Genomic DNA, 21,514 nt, shown 5'->3' with positions numbered 1-21,514 from the left:
GGCTGGGTTGTGGCAGTCTCCTGGAGGGCCTGCCCTAGTAATGAGGGCCCAGGCATGCGGCTGACCCTTTGAAGATGTGTCCTGAAGCTCTCTCATGGTGATCAATGACAGGAACCCAGACTCCTGCTTTAGCCAAATGATAAGTTTGGCCTCTTTTATTGGAAACCAAATTACAAATTAATTAGCAGCTTCCTCTGGGGCTGGGTGTGAACATCAACACCACCCAATGATGAATTTCTATCATGAGCCCCCTCACTGCAAGGGCATAAAATGGCCCGGGCGGCATGGGGTCTGTAGACATCCAGGTAGCTGTGGCTGAGGAGAAAGGGCCTCTCCAACATGACATCCTCCTGCTGTGTCACCAACAACTTGCAAGCCTCTCTCAAGAGCTGCCCCCGGCCTGCCTCGGTCTGTTCCAGCGGCGTGAACTGCCGGCCTGAGCTGTGCCTGGGCTATGTCTGCCAGCCCATGGCATGCCTGCCTTCGGTCTGCCTGCCCACCACCTTCCGGCCAGCCAGCTGCCTCTCCAAAACCTATCTATCCAGTTCCTGCCAGGCAGCCAGTGGCATCTCCGGCTCCATGGGCCCCGGCAGCTGGTACAGCGAAGGGGCCTTCAATGGCAATGAGAAGGAAACCATGCAGTTCCTTAACGACCGCCTGGCCAGCTACCTGACGAGGGTGCGGCAGCTGGAGCAGGAGAATGCGGAGCTGGAGAGCAGGATCCAAGAGGCCTCTCACTCCCAGGTGCTCACCATGACTCCTGACTACCAGTCTCATTTCAGGACCATTGAGGAGCTCCAGCAGAAGGTGAGGGCAGCGGTGAGGTGAATAGGCTCTCTGGGAAGGGAACTGGACTAGCTGGCATTCCAGATTGGAATCTCGTTAGCTTATTAAGCTATGTTCAGGACAAAGAGACTTCCCTAGGGCATAGGGTTATTTTATAATTTGAGCACTCAGCCTGAGGCTTTCATGTGGAGAGATCTGGGATCTAGTCTCAGTTCTACCATTGCCTCATTGCATGACTTTGGGGGTCCCATCCCTTCCCCAGGCCTCAGTTTTCTCATCTGTAAAACAGGGATAATAATGGTCGTTATCTAATGGGGTTGTCAAAAGGATTTGATGAGATGATGCAGGTCAAGTGCTTGGAACAGCCCCTGGTCCACGGTAAGTTTTCAGTAAATGTCAAAGACCCTTCTAACTGTCACATGAGTGACTTCAGACATGAGATTCTTCCCTTCCACATTGCTTGGCACATCCAAAATGGGGAATTTGAATTTACGAAGCTTCAGGTTCTTAAAAAATACATCTCAAGTTCTCCAAGGACTAGCAATTCGCTAAATATCTCCCAGAGTTCCAGGGAAGAGGACCTTCTGCAGGGATGGCTGCAGGGCTGCTGGATCCTACCTTTGCTGCTGTCTTCTCTTCATTTGGGTTCTTCTTGCTTCGTCTCATCCTGAACTAACCCTCTCCATGTGCCTTGGCCTACAGATTCTGTGTACCAAGGCAGAGAATGCCAGGATGGTTGTGAACATTGATAATGCCAAACTGGCTGCCGATGACTTCAGGGCCAAGTGAGTTCAGTCGGGGGGCTGGAGCTGGGGAGGACCTGTCCTCATAGGCTCTGGGGCAACTTTCCATTAGTTTCACGGAGGGTTGGAAAGTGCCGGCAGTTTAAGGCCTTCCCTGAGTTCTGCATTCTGTTTCACCCTTGGTTGCTGACCCTGTCCTTGTGCAGGTACGAGGCAGAGCTGGCCATGCGGCAGCTGGTGGAGGCCGACATCAATGGCCTGCGCAGGATCCTGGATGATCTCACTCTGTGCAAGGCTGACCTGGAGGCCCAGGTTGAGTCCCTGAAGGAGGAGCTGATGTGCCTCAAAAAGAACCATGAGGAGGTGAGGCTGGAAGTCCCGCTGAAGTGGCCCCGGGAAGCAGAGGGGGAGGAACGTGGGGTATGGGGTTGGATAGGCGTGGGTTGAAATTCCCAAGCCTGCCACATGTTGTTTTAGTGACTTTGCCCAATTTATGGAATCTTCCTGAGCCTCCTCTTCTGTAAAATGGGGACAACATGATCACGCAGGGTTATTGTGAGGATTTAATGGACAGGATATGGATCATGGAAATCCCCAAGGCATGGGTATGAAACACCTGCCACTTGGTCAACTCTCAGAAGTGTAGCCCCCTTCCCTTCTGCATTTCCTGGGCTAGTGTGACTGCCAAGCACTCACTAGTGGCAACTGCATTTTTTTCTCTCGAGAGCCACACAGCAGAGGTAGAGTGGTGCAGTGGTGCCGGGGTGAGTTATGTTCCAGATCTCACGTTGAATGGCCTGTCCATCTCTGCCTGGCTCAACTCTCAGAAGCAGTCCCATCTCTTCTGAGAGGGAGTACAGCTGCAGTGGTCTCCTCTTTTTGCCCCTATCCTTATTTTGTCCTCCCTTCTGTTTGCATATAAAATGCTCAAGCTGAAGCCCTTTACTTTCTGATTTTTCCTTATCTCCTGAAGTTTCTTGGAGGGGAAGCCCTCTGCTTTGGGCACCTGTGTGCTGCCAAGCCCACCTGAGCCATGGTGTTTTTCCCCCCTCCCTGGTTGACTCTCAACCTCTTGACTTGGGATTTGAATGAACAAGTGCCTCTGAATCTTGGCTGGGTTTCCTCAGGCTTAAGTGTAAAGTAACAATCAGTCACCACGTACTCACCGAGCACCCTCGGGCTCCTGACTCATCTTGCTCAAATCAGAGAACTGGGAACGGCACCAAGAAGCCACTAATGAGAAGTTATCACACATCCTGGCAGACTCAGTGACAACTTTCCCTCTTTGGCAGCCAAGCCTGGGAGGCAGCTGCCCTAACTCGGGCCTTTAACTAGTCAAGCCAGGCTCCTGCTACCCTCCTCCCAGGATGAACACAGGTGGGGAGGGAGACTGGGAATACTAGGGGTACCGGTTTCCCATTTTAGCCCAAATGCATCAAACAAACCAGGGTGCTGCTCTTGGCTTCTGCCAAAGTGATAGGAAGTGTTGTGTTGCAGTGAGGTTCCCATCGCAGGGGTATTCAGCTGGAGTTTGAAGAGCACTGGGATGCTGCTGAGTGGACTGCAGTCCTTAGGGGCCATCTAATGTTTCAATCTTTAGCAACTTTTGTTGCATCTTTTCATGTCTCCCTGGGGAGGTGAGCCAGGATCCTATCATTGTCACATTTTTCTGGAGGTCTTGTGCCTTTTCAGGAAGTCGGTTCCCTTCGATGCCAGCTTGGGGACCGCCTTAACATCGAGGTGGACGCTGCACCCCCGGTGGACCTGACCAGGGTGCTGGAGGAGATGCGGTGTCAGTACGAGGCCATGGTGGAGGCCAACCGCAGGGACGTGGAGGAATGGTTCAATATGCAGGTGGGCCTCTCACGGTGGGGATGGCCTCCTCCATATCCCTAGGAAGGGACTCTAGCCTTCTCCTTCCCCCAACTGCAGATGGAGGAGCTTAACCAACAGGTGGCCACAAGCTCTGAGCAGCTTCAGAACTACCAGTCAGACATCATTGACCTGAGACGCACGGTCAACACGCTGGAGATCGAGCTGCAGGCCCAGCACAGCCTGGTGAGAGCTGCTGGGTGGGCACCCATCCCTCCGGATCCTAGGCGGTACTGAGCATAGGTGCAGGTCCCCAGGAAAGAGGAAGAGGAGGCTCAGATTTCAGCCACCATGGATGCTCATCCTGTTGACTTTTCCCGGAGGGAGGTTTCTCCCGAGATCCAGCTCAGAGATAAAAAAGGGATGTTTCAAATCAGACATGGGTTAGGTGGACACTGTCAAACTCAACTCCACAAGAAGGCTTGTTCTGTGCTTAGCCTGCCCTTCCAAACCTATGGATCTCAATATCACCCATCCTGATGCCCAGGTTCTTTTCTGGACCAACTGAACCAGAGTCTCTGGAGGTGGGACCTGATCACAGCTATTTTTTTTTTTTTGAGATGGAGTCTCACTCTGTTGCCCAGGCTGGAGAGCAGTGGCATGATCTCAGCTCCCTGCAACCTCTGCCCCCGCTGGGTTCAAGTGATTTTCCTGCCTCAGCCTCCCAAGTAGCTGGGATTACAGGTGTGCACCACTATGCCCTGCTAATGTTTGTATTTTTAGTAGAGTGGGGGTTTCACCATGTTGGCCAGGCTGGTCTCGAACTCCTGACCTCAGGTGATCCACCTGCCTTGGCCTCCCAGAGTGCTGGGATTACAGGCATGAGCTACTGTGACCGGCCAGCCATGGGTATTTTTTGAGGGCTCCCATGTGGCGCTAATGTGCAGCCAGGTTTGAAAACCCCTGTTCTAAATGATGCCGGCAGGGAGGTACTTGGGAAATCTCAGATCCAATCCTGAAGGCAGACAAAGGTTGCAGAAGAAAGGAGGGATTTAGGATCAGATTTACGAACAGAAACTGTGGTTCCATAATGTACCAGCTGTTTACCCTTGAACAAGTCATTTGACCTTTCTGGGCTTCCGTTTCCAAAGTGACTGGTGTAGGGAGGGCTCATTTCCAGCATCAAAGGGAGATTTGGCTCTTCTTGGTTCTTTCTGAAGCAGGCCATGGTAAACAGCTCCCTTCCTCATGGTTATGTCTTCCTTTGCCTTAGAGGGACTCCCTGGAAAACACGCTGACGGAGAGTGAGGCCCGCTACAGCTCCCAGCTGGCCCAGATGCAGTGCATGATCACCAACGTTGAGGCCCAGCTGGCTGAGATCCGGGCTGACCTGGAGCGGCAGAACCAGGAGTACCAGGTGCTGCTGGACGTCCGGGCCCGGCTGGAGGGCGAGATCAACACGTACCGGAGCCTGCTGGAGAACGAGGACTGCAAGTACGCAGGCCCAGCTGAGGCTTAGAGAGACGTGGGCAGGGATTCTGGGAGGTTATAGGAAGCAACTGGATCTACCCTTGAGGGACCATCAGCTTAGAACCCTGTCCTGACTATGGAGCCATTAAGAAGCTGGTATGCTCTGAAGGAAGTCAGGCAGTGGTGTTCATGCTGCCATCCTGAACCAAGCCCCTCGGAGACCATTCTATCTCATTCCAAGCTGGCAAGCTCCTTCTAAGTGCCCACCATGGGGCAGGTGCTATGGAGGACACCAAGATAGAGGAAGACAGGGCATTTGCCCTCCTGTCATTTCCATATGTTTAGGGAGATAGGCAGACAGGTGACTGGAGGTCATGGCCTGTCCAGAGCTTAGGATGAAAAGCAGCTTTATTAATAGTACCTACACAATCCTGCTCCCACCTCTTACCCCAGCCTCACCTCATAGCTCCATTCCTCTCAGAACGGAGATTTTGGCATGTCAGCAGGACAATAGGTAGCCTTGTGTAATTGAGCCCTGGTGGGGAGCAGGACAGGAAAGATCAGCCGGGGCCCATTTATGGAGAACAACACGGGTCATACTGGGAAGGGAGGGCTTTAATTTATAGGTGAGTGGAAATTGTTTTGAGGAGGAAATGAGAGAATTTACTGTGTGTCTTCTCCACTAGATGGTAAACATCTAGAATGCAGAGACATTATAATACAATTTTATTCCCTGTACGTGGCACATAGTAGATGCTCAGTAAATGTCTCTCAAGCTCAAAGCTGTTCTTCAGGAAGATGGCCCTGATAGCAGCAGGAAGAACTGAGTAGAGGGAGGGGAACCAGGCAGGGAAACTGTCCAGGAGGCCCTGGCCACAGCCTAGGTAAGCAATAGGGAGGGCCTGAGTTAGGGCAGCAGAGGCATCAGCTCTAGACACTGTGCAGGTAGAATCAGCAGGACTTGGTGGCTGTCTGAATGCAGGGTACCTCTGGGCCATGGACACCCAGTGGGCTGACGACTGTTGTAGCTGTTTCTTATTCCGCATTTGGCATTGCTTCTCCATCATTCAGAATCTATAACTTCAGGGCAAGTGTTGTGTCAAACATTTGCAAGGACCAGGCCATTAACATGCATGAATGACGTGGGTCATACGGAGATGGTAGAAAAGCAGAAAGCTCTTGCCTTGTCCAATCCAGGCAATGGCATGCCCTCAGGGCCACTTCTACTGTGTGAGAAGCAGGTCCAATATTGCTGATCTTCCAATAGTTCCAGGGAAGCTGAGAATCTGGGTTTTTAAAAATGTTAAATTCTCCTGATTCTTAAGTATTTTCAAAAAATTAAAGAAAATATATAGTGCCAGGCAAATGGAACACATTTCAGGTTGCACATGATCCTCAGGCCTCCCATTGGTTCTCTGAGCTACTGGGTTTCCATCCAGCATCCAGTGTGTTGTTCCTGGTTTTGAGTGCATGCCTGTCAGTCTCTGAGATCATCCTTTTTCCTTTCACCATGTATTAATTCTTCATTCATTTATTGTTTTGTCTGATCCAAATATTCTTATTAGGTGCCTATTCTATGTGAGGTATGCAGGGTGGGCATGGGTCTGTGGCTGCTGGCCTCACTGCTTGGCCGGGGAGACAGACCATAATAGAATGATTACTACTCACGATGAAAGGAGATACATGTACCATGGGGGCTTTGTCTCAGAGAGGTGGGGGAGGCTTCAAGGAGGACGTGAGAGTTGAGTTGAGCTCTTAAACAAGAGAAGAAATGTAGGTGAGTGGAGAGGGAAGAGGGTTCCAGAGATGTACGGCACAGGGCACAAGCCCTGTGGCCTGAGCAGTACAGTCCCTGCAGGAGCTGGAAGAAGGTCAGAGTACCTGCAGCTCCCAGAGCAATGGAGCTATCAGGTGAGGCTGGGGCAAGAGGTGGGAGCAGGATCATGCAGGTCCTATTAAGGAAGCTGCTTTTCTTTATTTTATTTTATTTTACTTTAACTTCTGGGATACATGTGCAGAACGTGCAGGTTTGTTACATAGGTGTACATGTGCCATGGTGGTGGTTTGTTGCCTATCAACCCGTCATCTAGGTTTTAAGCCCTGCATGCATTAGATATTTGTTTTAATTTTCTCCCTCCCTGCTCCCCTCACCTCTCGACAGGCCCCAGTATATGATGTTCCCCTCCCTGTGTCCATGTGTTCTCATTGTTCAACTCTCACTTATGAGTGAGAACATGCAGTGTTTGGTTTTCTGTTCCTGTGTTAGTTTGCTGAGAATGATGGCTTCCAGAGGAAGCTGCTTTTCATCCTGAGCTCAAATGGAAGCCACTGAAGGTTTTAGGGAGGGGAGGGACATAATTGGATTTGTGACTGTAGAAGATTGCTCTGGCTACTAAGTGGACAGTGGTTAGGAGGGGCCCAAGTGGGGTTGGGGAGATCAGTTAGGAGGCCATGAGGTGACTCAGGCAAAGATGGCGGAGGTTGGGACCAGGGAGGCTGGGCAGAGAAAGCACGGAAGATGGGGTTGAGAGGCATCCGAGGGGAGAATTGGCAGGACCTGTGGCCGAGTGGGCCTTCTCTACTAATCCTGTTTCTCTTTGACTTTCTCCTGCAGGCTGCCCTGTAACCCATGCTCCACTCCTTCCTGCACCACCTGTGTGCCCTCCCCATGCGTGCCCCGCACCGTCTGTGTGCCACGCACTGTTGGCATGCCTTGCTCACCCTGCCCCCAGGGCCGCTACTGAAGTCCCTTTGTGCCAGTGGATCCTGGAGGGCCTGGGGCTGGGCAGCCTGGTATTCAGTGGCCACCAGAAGAGCAGGGCCAGCCCCGGTCAGCAAGGAAGACCCTGAGCAGGACCGTGGATCACCTGCAACAAGCTCTGATACTCCAGGGGATACTTAAGCCCTCATCACTTCAAAACTGCCTCTTTTTTCCATGGGTGAACTGTTCTCTTTGGTGATGTTTCTGGTTGTCTGTGCTGCCTCAAAGAGCGTGTGTTCTTAGTTAACTGGCAAATAGAGCTGTACTCAGTGGCCTTGCAAACATGTCTGTCTCTGTTTGTCACTTACGCTGCTGCATCCACAAGCCAATCCTACTCAATTGGGCTTAAGAGGAACGTGGGCAAATTCTGTATTTATTTTTATGCTCCTTCTGCTTCCATAGAGGCTTGAGAGGTGTTCACTAAAAGGGCCCGCATGCCATAAACCAGTTAAAACTAATCAATTACTCTAGAGCCAAGTAATAAAAGAATAAAGAGAGGAGGGAGATAATTATGCCAGAAACCTAGGCCAAATTACTGTAATTGAGAATCATATCATAATAAACCCACCCCTAAATCTCATTACAGCTGGTACAATGTGATCATTCATTCTTTCAAAATATCTTCACTGAGCAGCTACTGGGTGCAGGTTCTGCATTAGAGGCTGGCTAATCCAAGGAAGAGTTCCCAGACACATTGTTAGTAATGCTTCATTTAATCCTTGCAACAATCCGTGAAAAATATGCCATTATTGCATCCATTTTGTAAATGAGGAAACTGAGGCCCAGAGAAGTTAAGAAACTTGCCCAAAGTCACACAGCTTGTTAGTGGCAGACCCAGGACTGAAATCGAGGCCTTTGGGCTCTAGAGATGCTCAACCGATTCGCATTCACAGTCCTCACTATTTGCAAACTACAGCTGGGTGCAGGGGGTATTAAAAATGCAAGTGATCACCACCATTCAAACACTTGTAATTACAGGAGGAGCTAAGACCCATGTGCATAAGATGCCACTCCTTTCTTCATAAGGGCCATATAATAGTAACAGTAATAATAGTAATAATGGCAAAGGTTACTAATTCTTGAGCACTTATAATGCACCGAGTACTGTGTGGAGCATGTTACATAAATTAACTTATGCAGTTTTCATGACCACCTTGTAAGGTACACATGGTATCCATTTTAGACATGGAAATGGAGGCATAGAGTGGTCAAGTTAGTTGTTGAAGGTTACATGCAAGGACAAAGACTTAAACCCAAGTCTAGCTTCACAGCAGTGTTATTTTAACCATTCTAACTGCCAAATTCCTACCCAGAAAGAGTAAACACTAGTCAAGATTTGGAGAAAGTCTTAAGCTGAGAGGATCTGAAAGGCTTCTTGTAGCTGGTGGCGTTTGAAATAGGTCTTGGAGGTTGAATAGAAGGTCTACAGGGCACCAGATAGGCAAGTAAGTGTGTGGGGATCTTCAGGAGAGCAGGGGGTCATGCTTGGAAGGCCTCAAGGGGTCTTGCTGGCTGGAGCAGTGAGTTCCTGTGAGAGGCTGATGGGGATGAAGCTCAAATGGTAGAAAGGCATCAGAGAGTAGGGGGGCCTTGGGTACCCCACAAAAAGCCTGGATTCTGGACTCTATCCTGAAGGCAATGGGAGGGCTGCTGCAGGATTTGAGCCCAAAGATGACATGACTTGAGTGGCATCTTAGAAAGTATCACCAAGTAACACAGACAGGATAGCTAAGAGGAGGGGTTAGGCTGTGGAAGAAGCTAACAGGGTCTCAGGCAAGACAATGTCAGGGACCATGGAAAAATAAGGAATCAATCTAAGAGACACTGTGATGGACCTGACTTGGCAATGGATTGGCCATGGCAGGTAAAGAGGAGAGAGCTGGGGACAGGAATCTTGAACACCTTTCTGAACCTCACCCTCCAAACACACAGTTCTTCCTTAATGAGCTGAGATGATGTTTCTATTAAGTATCCTCCCTCTGGCCTTGCCAAGAAATGATGAAAAATGGATTGGATCCTGAAGCTGCCTGCAGGCTGCTCTCCAGACATGATCCTGCAGGCATCCCTGGCAGACAAGGTCATTAGCCTGACAGCAGGGACATGAACATACTGCTTAGCAAGCTGTGGTTCCTGGTTGATGGATGGGTAAAATTTCAAGGAGCTGAAATGCCAAGAGAGAGGGGTTCTGGCTAATTGAATTTTCTCATAACTGCGTGCAAACCAGCAATCTTTAATTTCAACCCCGGTGCAAAACTTTTCTGGAATGTGCTCAGCTTGATAAACAACACACAGAACAGACCAAAGCTTTGGTTCTATAATCCTAGACCTGTTCTGTCCAATATGGTAGTTCATAACGACATGTGGCTGCATATACTGAAACATTCGGTATATGAATGTTTCATATACTGAATTGCACTGAGTTGCACTCGTCACACGTGGCTAAGTGGTAGTAAATAAGACAACACAGACATGGACTATTTCCAACACTGCAGAAAGTTCTACTGGACAGAGCTGTCTTAGACTGTCAGAACTAGAAGGAGCCTTCCAGATGATCTGGCTCAGCTTTCCCAGTTTTACAGAAGAGTCATCTCAGACCCAGGGAGGTGGACAGATGTGCTCACAGACACAACCAACAGGTGGAAATTGAAGCCAAGGGTTTTGACGCCAAGCCTCTTAGGTCTCTCCAAGCACTTTATGCTTTCTCCAAGCACCCTAGGTTTATTATTATTTCAGGCTAATACATATTTCCCCTCTCCTTTTCTTTCATTTCCCAAAGAAGGGAGACATTTTCTCTGAGAAGCTGAAACTTCTTCCTGGGAATATAGTTCTCTTAAAAAGCATCGCTAGCAACTACCAGACTCAGCATCTCCTCTTTCTTTGAGCACTGGGCTCAGTAAGAGCAAAGACCTTGAGCTGCAGCCCAGAGCCTCAGCAGGAATGATTGCACAGGAGTTGTGGGCCAGAAGTCCTGGACCCTGGACCCCCTGGGGACTTCCAGAGTCTCCGTTTCCCCAGTGCATATTGTTTCAGTCCAACTCGGTCCCCATTCCCACACCTGTGTGTCTCTCCCACTTGCCAAGACCTGTCTGACTCCCAAGATGACTGTTAAAGCTTTTTATATGAAACCAAGCCCCACAGCCCAGGGCCAGGAGTACCCTCCTCTGCTAGAAGTGAGGCCCATCATCTTCTGTGTCTGGATGGTACTTCAAGCCAGAGGTGTCACGAGCTACCCTCCTGCCTAGCCTGTCTCTTATTTGATGGATGAAGAAGCCGTGGGCATAGACTTTGGGAGATATTTATCCCCCACCAGCACCGGAATCTCCTGGGAACTGGACTCAGTGTACCACTCATGGAGATTCTCAGAGGAACTCTCTCCTCATATCAAAGCATTTGCATCTAATTAACTCTTTATAGGGGAAGAGTTTATAGGGAAATGTAGGCAGGACCCTGGTCAAGTCATAAAACCTCTGTCATATTTGATGTTTTGGAGAAACCCTCACAGGTATCAGGGATCCTCTCTGAGCGGGATTGGAAAAGAAAAGGGTGTGCTTTTTAAAGACACCACTTTCCCCAAGGCTATTCAAGAGTTTGGGCCTCACCCCTGCTGCTCACTGCCCTAGTGCAAAGCACCCTCTTCTGGGGGTGAGAGTGAGGGCCCATGGGCAGAACTGCCATTCAAGGAAGACTGGCCAGAGGGCGACAGCTTCCCGAAAGATCCAGGAGTTGGGTTTGGCATCTGGGAGTTGGGGCTGTGTGTGGACTCTGAATTGCACTGACTGAATCTTTCTTCACCACTATATTAGGAAACCTTTTAGAGAGTGATCAAAAAAAGAATATGCCTCTTCCAGGGTATAACCAGGAAAATCATTAATAATAAAACAATATTCTTTTTGTATTTCATAATTTTTTTTTCTTTTGGAGAGAGAGTCTCGCCCCGTAGCCCAGGCTGGAGTGCAGTGGCATGATCTTGGCTCACTGCAACCTCTGCCTCCTGGGTTCAAGTGATTCTTGTGCCTCAGCCTCCTGAGTAGCTAGGACCACAGGCACATGCCACCATGCCTGGCTAATTTTTGTATTTTTAGTAGAAATGGGGTTTCACCATGTTGGCCAGGCTGGTCTCGAACTCTTGACCTCAGGTGATTCACCCACCTTGGCCTTCCAAACTGCTGGGATTACAGGCGTGAGCCACTGCACCCGGCCTGTATTTCATAAAATGTAACACTTGAATGCAATGATATCAATTCGGCTAAACAGAAAGTTCCTAAGATCATTTGATGTCTATCTTTTTGCCCAACTGATCAAGACAAATTTGTATTTAAATAGCAGTGTCCCTTAATCATAATATGTAAACAAAGTCACCAATGAGCATCTAGGATTAATGGAGAAGATCAGTGCCTTTGGCTTCAGAAAAACTGGGCTAGACCCCCAGTTCTGCTGCTAATGTGCTGTGTGATTTTGGCAGAACTCTTAATCTCTATGCATCTCAGTCTTCTCCCCTTTAGAAATGGGAGTAATTCTACCTTTTTCACAGAGTTGTTGGGATATAGTACATATAAAAATGCCTGTCATGATGCCTGGCATATTGTAGGTGCCTGATGAATGTTGAGTAAAGAAAACATGCTTTGGCAACAAATTTCTCTTCTCTTCTGACTTTCCCCAATTACAATGGCAGCTGAGTCATATTTTGGAGCCATTCTGAAGCCCAAGTTTCAGAAACAACAACAGCAGCAGCAGCAGCAGCAACAACAACATATGGGTAGCTTTGCTTTGCTCTAAGAGCATTGGATGAACTTCCAGTCTTGGTGTAAATGCCCTGGTAGAGTGAAGGCCCTGGTGTCTGAGGCTCAGCGTCCAGTCCTGGAGTTCACCATCCATTCCCAGGTGCCCTCCCTCTGCCCAGCCCTCTGGCTCCAGAGCGGACTGAAGGTCTCCCACATGCTTAAGGGGTCCAATTTTTAAGCCTCATTCACTGTGCTGTGTGAAGCAGGGATGGCAACTACAGCTCACAGGTCAAACCCCACTGCTACTTGTTTTGGTAAATCAAGTTTTATTGGAGCATAGCCACACCCATTCATTTCCCTGTTGTCTATGTCTGCTTTGTGCTACAATGGCAGAGCTAAGTAGTTGCAGTACAAAGAGAGTATACGACTTGCAAAGCCTAAAATATTTAGCATCTGTCTTTTTAACAGAAAAAGCTTGTCCATCTTGGTGCAGAGGAAACAGAATGTGCTAGGGGCCCTGGGACCAGTCCTGGCTCTGTATCTGACTTGCTTGGCATCCCTGGGGAGCTCACTGTCCTTCTCTGGTCTCTGAAGCACGAAAGGTTGAATTAGTACTTGGAAGTTTTCTTTAGTTCTAATAACTTAGCAGTCTTTGCTCTATTGCTCTTTAGGGATTCCTGAGGCTCTTATCAGAGAATTTTACTTTTTTGGGTATTGAAGGTCAGTGGAGAGGACGATTCATCTTAGAGCCAATGCCATTCCTAGAGAGAGGCCAGATAGTCACTCAAGGAACAAAGTCTAACTTTTCAATGGGGCATCTCTAAAGAGAAAACATTTAACATTTCTTTTCACAACAGAAGGCAGTAACAAGAAGTCCAAAGTCAGCCCTTTCTTTCATAAAGTGGGGAGCTACTTCTGAGGACTGAATAACTGCTGATGGGTTGTTCTGATGGCAGAACAAATGAGGATTCATTGGGGGAAAGCTTGTGTATCACATCTGCTCCTATGGCAGGTGAATAAAAGCTCTGGGTGAGGAAACACTCACACCTGAGCACCTGGCCCTTGTCACCAATCTGCAACTCAACTGTCTAGGACCATGGCTTCTAGTTAAAGCAGAAATCCCTGCTCCTCAAGCTTTGGCAAGAGCCATTTGAAGCCTCCTTGCTCCAGACAGGCTGTGGCCAGAAACCACTCTAGAAACTCTGTACCCAATGTCTGTAGATCCCAGTATTAAGACTGGGGCCCACCTGTAAGAGAGTCACCAACCTAGTAGCCATCTCCTTAGAACCTGTGGCTCACAGTCAGTCCAGCCTGGCCCTGCCAGCAGTCACTCTGCCTGTCCTCTGCCAGGGACCAGGAACATCCCTGCCAGTATGGGCACCTGTGGCTGGTTCAGTGAAGACATCCTCAGCAGCAGTGGGAAAGGGATCATGCAGTTCTTAAGTGAGTGCCTGGCCAACTGCTTGCAGAAGTTGCAGCAGTTGGAGCAGGAGAATGAGAAGCAGGGGTGGTGCTGAGAGCCAGCAGTGGAGCAAACGGCAGTGCCCTGACATATGCTCCAATTACTGCTCACACTTTGAGACCATTAAGGAGCTCCAACAAAAAGTAAGATGAGGCCTTGAGCTCTGGTGTCAGTGGCATGGAAAGAGAGGGCTGAGGATTGGTGATGGGAGAATTGGAGGGGTTGCCTGGGGGGATGACAGTCCATGAATGTTCATAAAGATGGATTGAAGGTGCCAGAAATAAACTGTGATGTCAAGGGCCCAACCACTTGGTTCTACAACCAGTTCCATTCAACAAGCATCATTGCTGATGTCTGCAATGAGAGGACTGTGAGTGGGATATGGATTTATTTCTTCACAATCCAGATCCTGCCTTATTTAAGGACATGCCACCATTCACTCACTAGTTATTGAGCACCAGCAATGAGTGATTGCATCGCTGGGTGCTGGGGAGCAGACAGTGCCTACAAAATGAAGCCTCAGCTCTTTAGCCTGGCATTCAAGGCTGCCATGTTCTCAGCCTCACTTTTTTTTGTAGCTTACCTCTTTCTAATCTTCTGCAAACATCCTGTGCTTCTATCAAACTGCTTTGTCACTTGCCCTATGCTTCTGTCAAACTGCGTTGTCACTCACAAAATGTTTGTTCACATGTGTAGTGCTTTCTTTCTCATCTTTGCATGGCCAAATTCTAGTTGGGCTTCAAAACCCAGGTGATATTCCCCACCTCCTGGAATCCTCTCTAGAAGCTAATCCCCCTGGGATGGATTTTGCCTTCCATGGAATAACCCACAGCCGCATATCTGAACGTCTCTTGTGGCATTCTCATCTTTCTATTTGTTTTGGAGTTCCTGTTCTGTACAAGATGGTGGAAAGGATGAACAACCTAACTTCATTTTTAAAAAATTAATCACATTTATTTAGTATTTTCCATTAAGTGCTGATATTCAGCTGGGATGTAGCAGTCTGTCTCTGTGGCCGTTTCCACATCTCCTTTTAGATTGCTGCCAACAGTGGTTATAATATTTCTGAAATCATCCTTGATTCTACTAAATGTCAAACCTGAACTGGGAATTTTCACATACCTTTTTTCTTTGAACCATTTCAGCAATCCTCTAAGGTGGATATTATTATTTCTATTTTATCTAAAAAGAATAGAGCACCTTTATTAAGAGCTCACTAGATGTCAGAAGCTTTGCTAAACATATATGCTTGGTTGCATTTAATCCTTACAAGGATTTGATGAAGCAGATAGAATCACGTTTTCCATTTTACAGATGGGAAGATTTTAAGCTTCAGGGGGTTAGAAGCTATGCCTAAAGTCTCAGAGCTGGTAAACTGCCAAGCTGCGTGACACAGGTCCACTTAACCACTGTGTTGGTGCCTTTGAGGAAGTGGATGAGGAGAAAAAGGGAGGGTGAGTGAACCAGAAGCATGTCTTGGCTGTGCAGAGCTGGGTTTCAGTCCAAGGGGCTATCCCTTCAACCCCCTCACTGCTGCCCAGACCTGACCAATGGAGCCCACAGTAGAGTGAGAAGTGAAACCCCATCTGTATCCCAGAGCGCAGCTAGTTTCGTTACAGATGGGAGCAAACCCTTGGATACTTGATGCTTAAAAATCCACCATAAGGAAAGATGGAAACGTCCCCATGTGGCTCAGATCACATTTTTTTTCATTCATTTTAGGGCCTGGGGAGAATTCCATGGAGAGCATCCTTGTGAAGCATGGTGTTTCTCATTCTCAGATCTCACCCAGGAGGGTAGGGAATGCTTGGTTGGCTGTCCAGGTGGACAATGTGAAAATAGCTGTGACAACTTTAGGACAGAGAGAGTCTGACAGGAGCTGGGAACTGCTGCTCCCTGGTACTCTGTCCATCTCTTTCGTGTCAGGTACAGGTCTCTGTGGAGGAAGCAAAGGAGGGGCAGCCTTTGAAAAGAATCCCTCCAAGGAAATGTTTCCACCAACCTAAGAAGTATTAATAAAAAGATTCAGTCCCAAAGAATTTTAGGGGTAATTTAAGATGTGTTTGATTAAGATTGAGCCCTAATCAAGAATTAAGTCAGCTCCTGAAGGACAGGGTTAGGTCTCAACAGTCACAGTGGCATTAGTGAGTGTTCACAATGTTTAAGACTACACCAAAGTGCTGAATGTAGTTTATTCCATCTTCACAACAACCTTGTGAGCTAAGAATTGTTACCCTCATTTTACAGATGAGGATGTTGAGGCTCAGAGAAAGAAACTTGCTCAAAGGTACACCTGGCATAGGATGGCATTGAGACCCAAACCACATTCTACCTAAGCATGTAGTATTAATTGTGTAAGAGTTAAAGAAAGAAGAAAGAAACATGAAAAGTGGCTCAACAGTCAAAGACAGGTTTATTTTGGAGAATAAACCTGAGAGAGGCTTCTGGCTGATTTCAGTTAGGAGTGTTCTCTCTTACAGACTAAGGATATTTAAGGGTTTAGGAAGCTGGGAGCTTATCATAGGTTTGGAATGTTTCTACGTGAGGAAAAATTTATTGTGGGGTTGGAATGTCTTTGGTTAGAGGGGAAGCTATCTTGGGGTTGGCATGTTTCTGGTTGGAGGGGGGTTATCGTAGGGTTGGAATATTTCTGTTTATGCTGACATTAGCTATTAGACTGACATTTTGGGGCTGGATTTAGGCTACTTTTTTTTTAATCAAGGGAAACTTAAAATGGTGGTGTTTGTCTAAGATGGCGATGCTCCTGCTCTGTCAAATTGCTGTCTTTCATTGTGCACTAAAGTATCTGGTGGATAGTGAAAGATCAATAAGTATTTTCATATTTTATTTAGTATAGAAACATCCCCCCAATCAAAGCAGATGTACAAGTGCCTCTGGCCTGAGAAGAGCAAATGGAGAGGCATGCATGCTGAAAGACAGGCCACTGGCTTGGATGCTTATCTGCCACGTTTAGACAAGTGTCAGAGTTGGCTGGGCCCAGCCAATGAGTGGAGACCAACATAAACAGCCTGCACAGGCTCCTGGGTGATGTGGGTCTGCGCCAGGGAGAGCTGGAGGTGCAGTAAGAGTCCCTAAGGGAGGAGTTTCTGTGTTCGAAAAATAACCGTGAGCAGGTAGAAGCAACTAAGAAATGGCTGAGGCCAATTTCAGGGGGTTGACCAGGAAGAGCGACAGATCCATTCCTTGGGTTTGCACTTGGGCGCTGTTCCCCTCCAGGCAGAGTCTTCTCCCCTTTGGCTGACCTTTCCCCTGCCCTGGATTAAAGACCCATGGTCCCAAAATCTTGTAAAAGCAGGGCTGGCAAAGACCATACAGGGATCGGCAGTCCAACTCTCTCATTTTAGGGATGAGGAAACTGAGGCTCAGAGAGAAGAAACAGCAATAGATACAGAAAAGATGTGGAGAAAATATTCTAGAGCCCTGTCTCTTCCTATCTGTGGGAAATGATTCAAATGATAGATTCAAGGACTCAGAGAGGGATTAGACATCAGGGACTTTTGGACTCACAAAGGGGTCATTTTACAGATGAGGACGTGGAAGTTCAGAGAAAGGAAGTGACTGCCCCAAGTCACACTGTCAATTGGTAGAGCCAGGATTAGAATTCATGTTTCTTTGATGTGCTTTTCTTTCCTTTTTTCTTTTCTTTCTTTCTTTCTTTCTTTCTTTCTTTCTTTCTTTCTTTCTTTCTTTCTTTCTTTCTTTCTTTCTCCCTCCCTCCTTTCTTTCTTTCTTTCTTTTCTTTCTCTCTCTCTTTCTTTCTTTCTTTCTTTCTTTCTTCTTTTTTTCTTCTTTCTTTCTTTCTTTCTCTCTTCTTCTTTCTTTATTTCTCTCTCTCTCTTTCTCTCTCCCTTCCCTTCCCTTCCTGCTCTCTCTCTCTCTCTTTCTTTTTTTTGACAGAGTTTCGCTTTTGTCACCCAGGCTGCAGTGCAATGGCGCCATCTCGGCTCACTGCAACCTCCGCCTCCTGGGCAATTCTCTTGCCTCAGCCTTCTGAACTAGCTGGGATTACAGGCACCTGCCACCATGCCCAGCTAATTTTTTTGTATTTTTAGTAGAGACAGGGTTTCACTTATGTTGGCCAGGCTGGTCTTGAACTCCTGACCTCAGGTGATCCACCTGCCTCGGCCTTCCAAAGTTCTGGGATTACAGGGGTCAGCCACTGTGCCAGGCCGATGCTCTTTTCTTTCTTTTGTGCTGCCATATCTCAAAAAAGTTTTTTTTTTTTTTCCCAGATAATGATTGAAACAGAGGCAACTCTGTATGGGTGTCACTCTTTGTGATAAAGTAAAAATAGAGATAATTATTAGATCATTTCAGACATGGAGAGAGATGCTGACAAGGGGGCTGCTGGGGTGGCTCTGCTGCTCCCCTGGGGTGAAGTGCCTGAGCAGTCACCATGCTGTGCTTCAGGTGGGCAAGACATTTGGTGGAGGGCTGAATGAATGCAGAGTCTGCTCTTTTTGTGTACATAGGAAGCCTGCACTCTGAGGAGTGCAGAGGACAAGCTCCGGATTGAGTTGGGGACTGAGCCCACTGCGGACCTGAGCAGTCAGAGGAGATGTGGGGCCAGTATGAGGCCGTGGTGGAGACCAGCTGCCAGGATGTGGAGCAGTGGTTCCAAGCCCAGATGAAGGGAGGCTGCAGAGTAGGGAGGACTCGGCATCCACCTGGGCAGGGAGGTAATTGTGTCTCTCTGTGCTCCAGTCTGAAGGCATCAGCCTGCAGGCCATGTCCTGCTCTAGGAGCTGCAGTGCTGTCATTTGGAGATCCTGGAGCTGAGCTGCTCGGTGAACACCCTGGAGGTGGAGCTTCAGGCTCAGCACACGCTGGTGAGTCCCTCTGCATGTATGGGAGCCCCAGCTTGGTTCCCACTGCCCATGAGCAGTTCCTTGGGGTCAGTACAGGCCTCACTTAGATACCAACCAGGGAGTCAGCTTAAACCTTGGTTTCATCTCCTTTGGAGGCACTTTCTTGCAGATGTGGATGGTGAGTGAATCAACATTAACTCAGGTGAGGGGGCTCTGATCTTAAAGGTCTACTGTGAAGACAAGTAACACAGCATTGGTTCTTCTGGCTAAAGACAGCCAAAGGGAGTTAGATTGCTCCTGGACCTGGCACAGTCTTGGGGTGTCACAATCTTAAGAGGCTGAGGGCAGAGATCCACGAATTTTAGCTTGCTTCTCCCTTTCCTTGGTATTACAGAAGGACTGTCTGTAGCACTCCCTGTGTGAAGCTGAGGACCACTACGGCATGGAGCTGGCCCAGCTGCAGAGCCTCATCAGCAGTGTAGAAGAGCAGCTGTCCAAGAGTTAGGCTGACCTAGAGTGGCAGAGCCAGGAGTACCAGGAGCAGCTGGATATCAGGGCCCAACTGGAGGGTGAGATCACCATGTACTGGAACCTTCTGGGGAACAAAGGCTGCAAGTATGTGTGATGTCAAGTAGTGTCTTCATTTATGAGTATCAGTGTTGCAGTGTCTCCAGGTAGAACGATGAGGGACTGATGTTTGTTTCACAACTGTCCTTACTATGTGAGGTTGGCATTGCTGACGCTGTTATTGCAGACAAGGATATGGGGCTCGGAGAATAATTAGTTTGCCCCCCGTCAGAGTTAGTAAGGGGGGAGGGACATAAACTAAAGCTGGGTCTGTGGATGAACTGTCTCCATGTGCATCTGCTGCAAGAGGCCATGTAATCCATGTACCACACCTGGAGGTCACGTGCAAGAGTGCTCACATGACCTGCACCCCAAGCCCCACATAGCAACACTTTCTTGAGCTCACCCTACATACCCACCAGAGGCTGCCAGGGCAGCAGCAGATTCTGCGCACAGGGTGGGTTGGAACCCTCCTCTCATTGCAGATGAGACGGAGGCAAGGGAAAGAGACTCACCTGCGGCTGAGGCCCACCTTGTAAATGGCTTACCTTCGAGAAGAGGCGGGTACCTTGTGACTCTGCAGCTTCTCACAACTTCGACTTGTGTTTTCATTTTCAAGGAGTTTGCTCAGTGGGGCCACTTCCTTTCTTTAATGCTTAGGAAGCTGCATCTTCTGGTTCCTGGGAAATGAATTAAATGAAGTTGCTTATTGAGAGTGTGACTACTGTTTTCAGGTTATTTCAGTGGGTTACAGTGAATATCCCGTGTGATGCTTTAAAAAAAATAAATTTTATTGTGTATATTTAGAGTAGACAGCATGAGGCTGGGTGTGGTAGCTCACGCCTGTAATCCCAGCACTTTGGAAGGCTGAGGCGGGTGGATCATCTGAGGTCAGGAGTTCTAGACCAGCCTAATCAACATGGTGAAACCCCGTCTCTACTGAAAATACAAAAATTAGCTGGGCGTGGTAGTGCATGGCTGTAATCCCAGTTACTCGGGAGGCTGAGGCAGAAGAATCACTTGAACTCGGGAGGTGGAGTTTGCAGTGAGCTGAGATTGCACCACTGCACTCCAGCTTGGAGTCTAGAGCGAGACTCTCTCTCTCTCTAAAAAAAGTAAAGATAAAAATAAAAAACTATACAGCATGATGTTATGGGATACATATATATAGCAAAATGGTTATTATAGTGAAACAACATATTCATCATCTCACATAGTTACCCATTTCCTGCCCCCACCCACCCCCATGGCAAGAGCAGCTATAATGTACTCATTTAGCAAAAATCCTGAATATAATACTCTTATTAACTAGAGTCCTCTTGTACATTAGATCTTTAAACGTGTTCAGCCTACATATCTGCTACTTCGTATCTTTTGACTTGTGTAGTGTATTTAAAACTATGGCTATGACTTATGAATGGTCTCTGAAGTCATTTTAGTGGGTTTTGATGAGCATGAGAGAGATAAACACTATACAAAGACCAATGAGTCATGAGAAAACTTGGTGTTCAGAATTTTTTGGATTTCAAAATTGCAGATAAGGTCTTGCAACCTTGTACAGCTTTATTAAAAGTAATTTTATTAGTAACTGATGACTGCTTTCTGGAATGTGAATTCTCCCAAATAATTGCCAGGGTGGGTTTTATAATCCTTATTTCCAACAAGGAAAAATAAAACCTCCATGGCTTCAAAGAACATAGTAAAGCCAGAATCTGCACTCTGTCTGACCCCAAAGTGCTGCTTTTGACTCTATCACCTTTCCTATCCTTTCTTTTCTTGTTCTTCTAAGTCATTGCTTCTCAACCATGGCTGCTCTTTGGAACCATCTGGAGAGCTTTACAAAATAGTGATGCTGGGCTCCACCTCCAGGGATTCTGTGGCCATCGGTCTGGGTGTGGCTTGGGCATCAGAAGTTCTAAAAACTCCCCAGGGGATTTTTTTCTTTTTTTGAGACAGGGTCTGGCTCTGTCACCCAGGCTTGAGTGCAGTGGTTCTATCTTGGGTCACTGCAACCTCTACCTCCTCAGTTTAAGCCATTCTTCTGTCTTAGCCTCCTGAGTAACTGGTATTATAGGCATGCACCACCATGCTTGGCTAATTTTTTTGTATTTTTAGTAGAGATAGGGCTTTGCCATGTTGGCCAGGCTGGTCTCGAACTGCTGACCTCAGTTGATCCACCCGCCTTAGACTCTCAAAATGCTGGGATTATGGGCATGAGCTGCCAAGCCTGGCCTTTTTTTTTTTTTTTTTTTTTTTTTGTAAATAACAGAATAGACAGTGCACCCTGAGAGAGGATCAGGGTGTGCTCCTTGTAAGGATGAGATGGCCCCCTGGGGGATTCTGGTGTATAGTCAAAATTAGAA

General features: G+C 47.7%; 1 protein-coding gene and 1 pseudogene across 2 annotated transcripts, besides 1 other annotated feature; both read left to right on the top strand.

Moving 5' to 3' along the window:
• KRT32 (keratin 32) lies at positions 279-8,152 on the top strand. 2 transcript variants are annotated; one of them, NM_002278.3, is made up of 7 exons: positions 279-807; positions 1,489-1,571; positions 1,736-1,892; positions 3,222-3,383; positions 3,462-3,587; positions 4,615-4,835; positions 7,426-8,152. In NM_002278.3, the coding sequence occupies exons 1-7, from the start codon at positions 340-342 to the stop codon at positions 7,553-7,555; spliced, it is 1,347 nt and encodes a 448-aa protein (NP_002269.3). In that variant the 5' UTR covers positions 279-339; the 3' UTR covers positions 7,556-8,152. The 2 variants fall into 2 exon arrangements, 1 of the variants encoding a protein (NP_002269.3); XR_934457.2 differs by lacking the exons at positions 3,462-3,587; positions 4,615-4,835; positions 7,426-8,152 and having other exon boundaries at positions 1,736-2,906; positions 3,222-3,306.
• Positions 7,473-7,974: an enhancer, noted in NCBI's record as "H3K4me1 hESC enhancer chr17:39615943-39616444 (GRCh37/hg19 assembly coordinates)". NCBI's record gives its function as "activates a minimal SCP1, AML or CMV promoter by ChIP-STARR-seq in naive H9 embryonic stem cells {active_cell/tissue: H9 hESC(naive)}" and the evidence as "EXISTENCE:reporter gene assay evidence [ECO:0000049][PMID:30033119]".
• KRT43P (keratin 43, pseudogene) lies at positions 18,261-19,203 on the top strand (annotated as a pseudogene).

This window comes from Homo sapiens, chromosome 17 (assembly GCF_000001405.40).
Source record: "Homo sapiens chromosome 17, GRCh38.p14 Primary Assembly".
Classification (NCBI taxonomy): Eukaryota; Metazoa; Chordata; class Mammalia; order Primates; family Hominidae; genus Homo; species Homo sapiens.
This window is presented reverse-complemented; position numbering and strand designations above follow the sequence as displayed.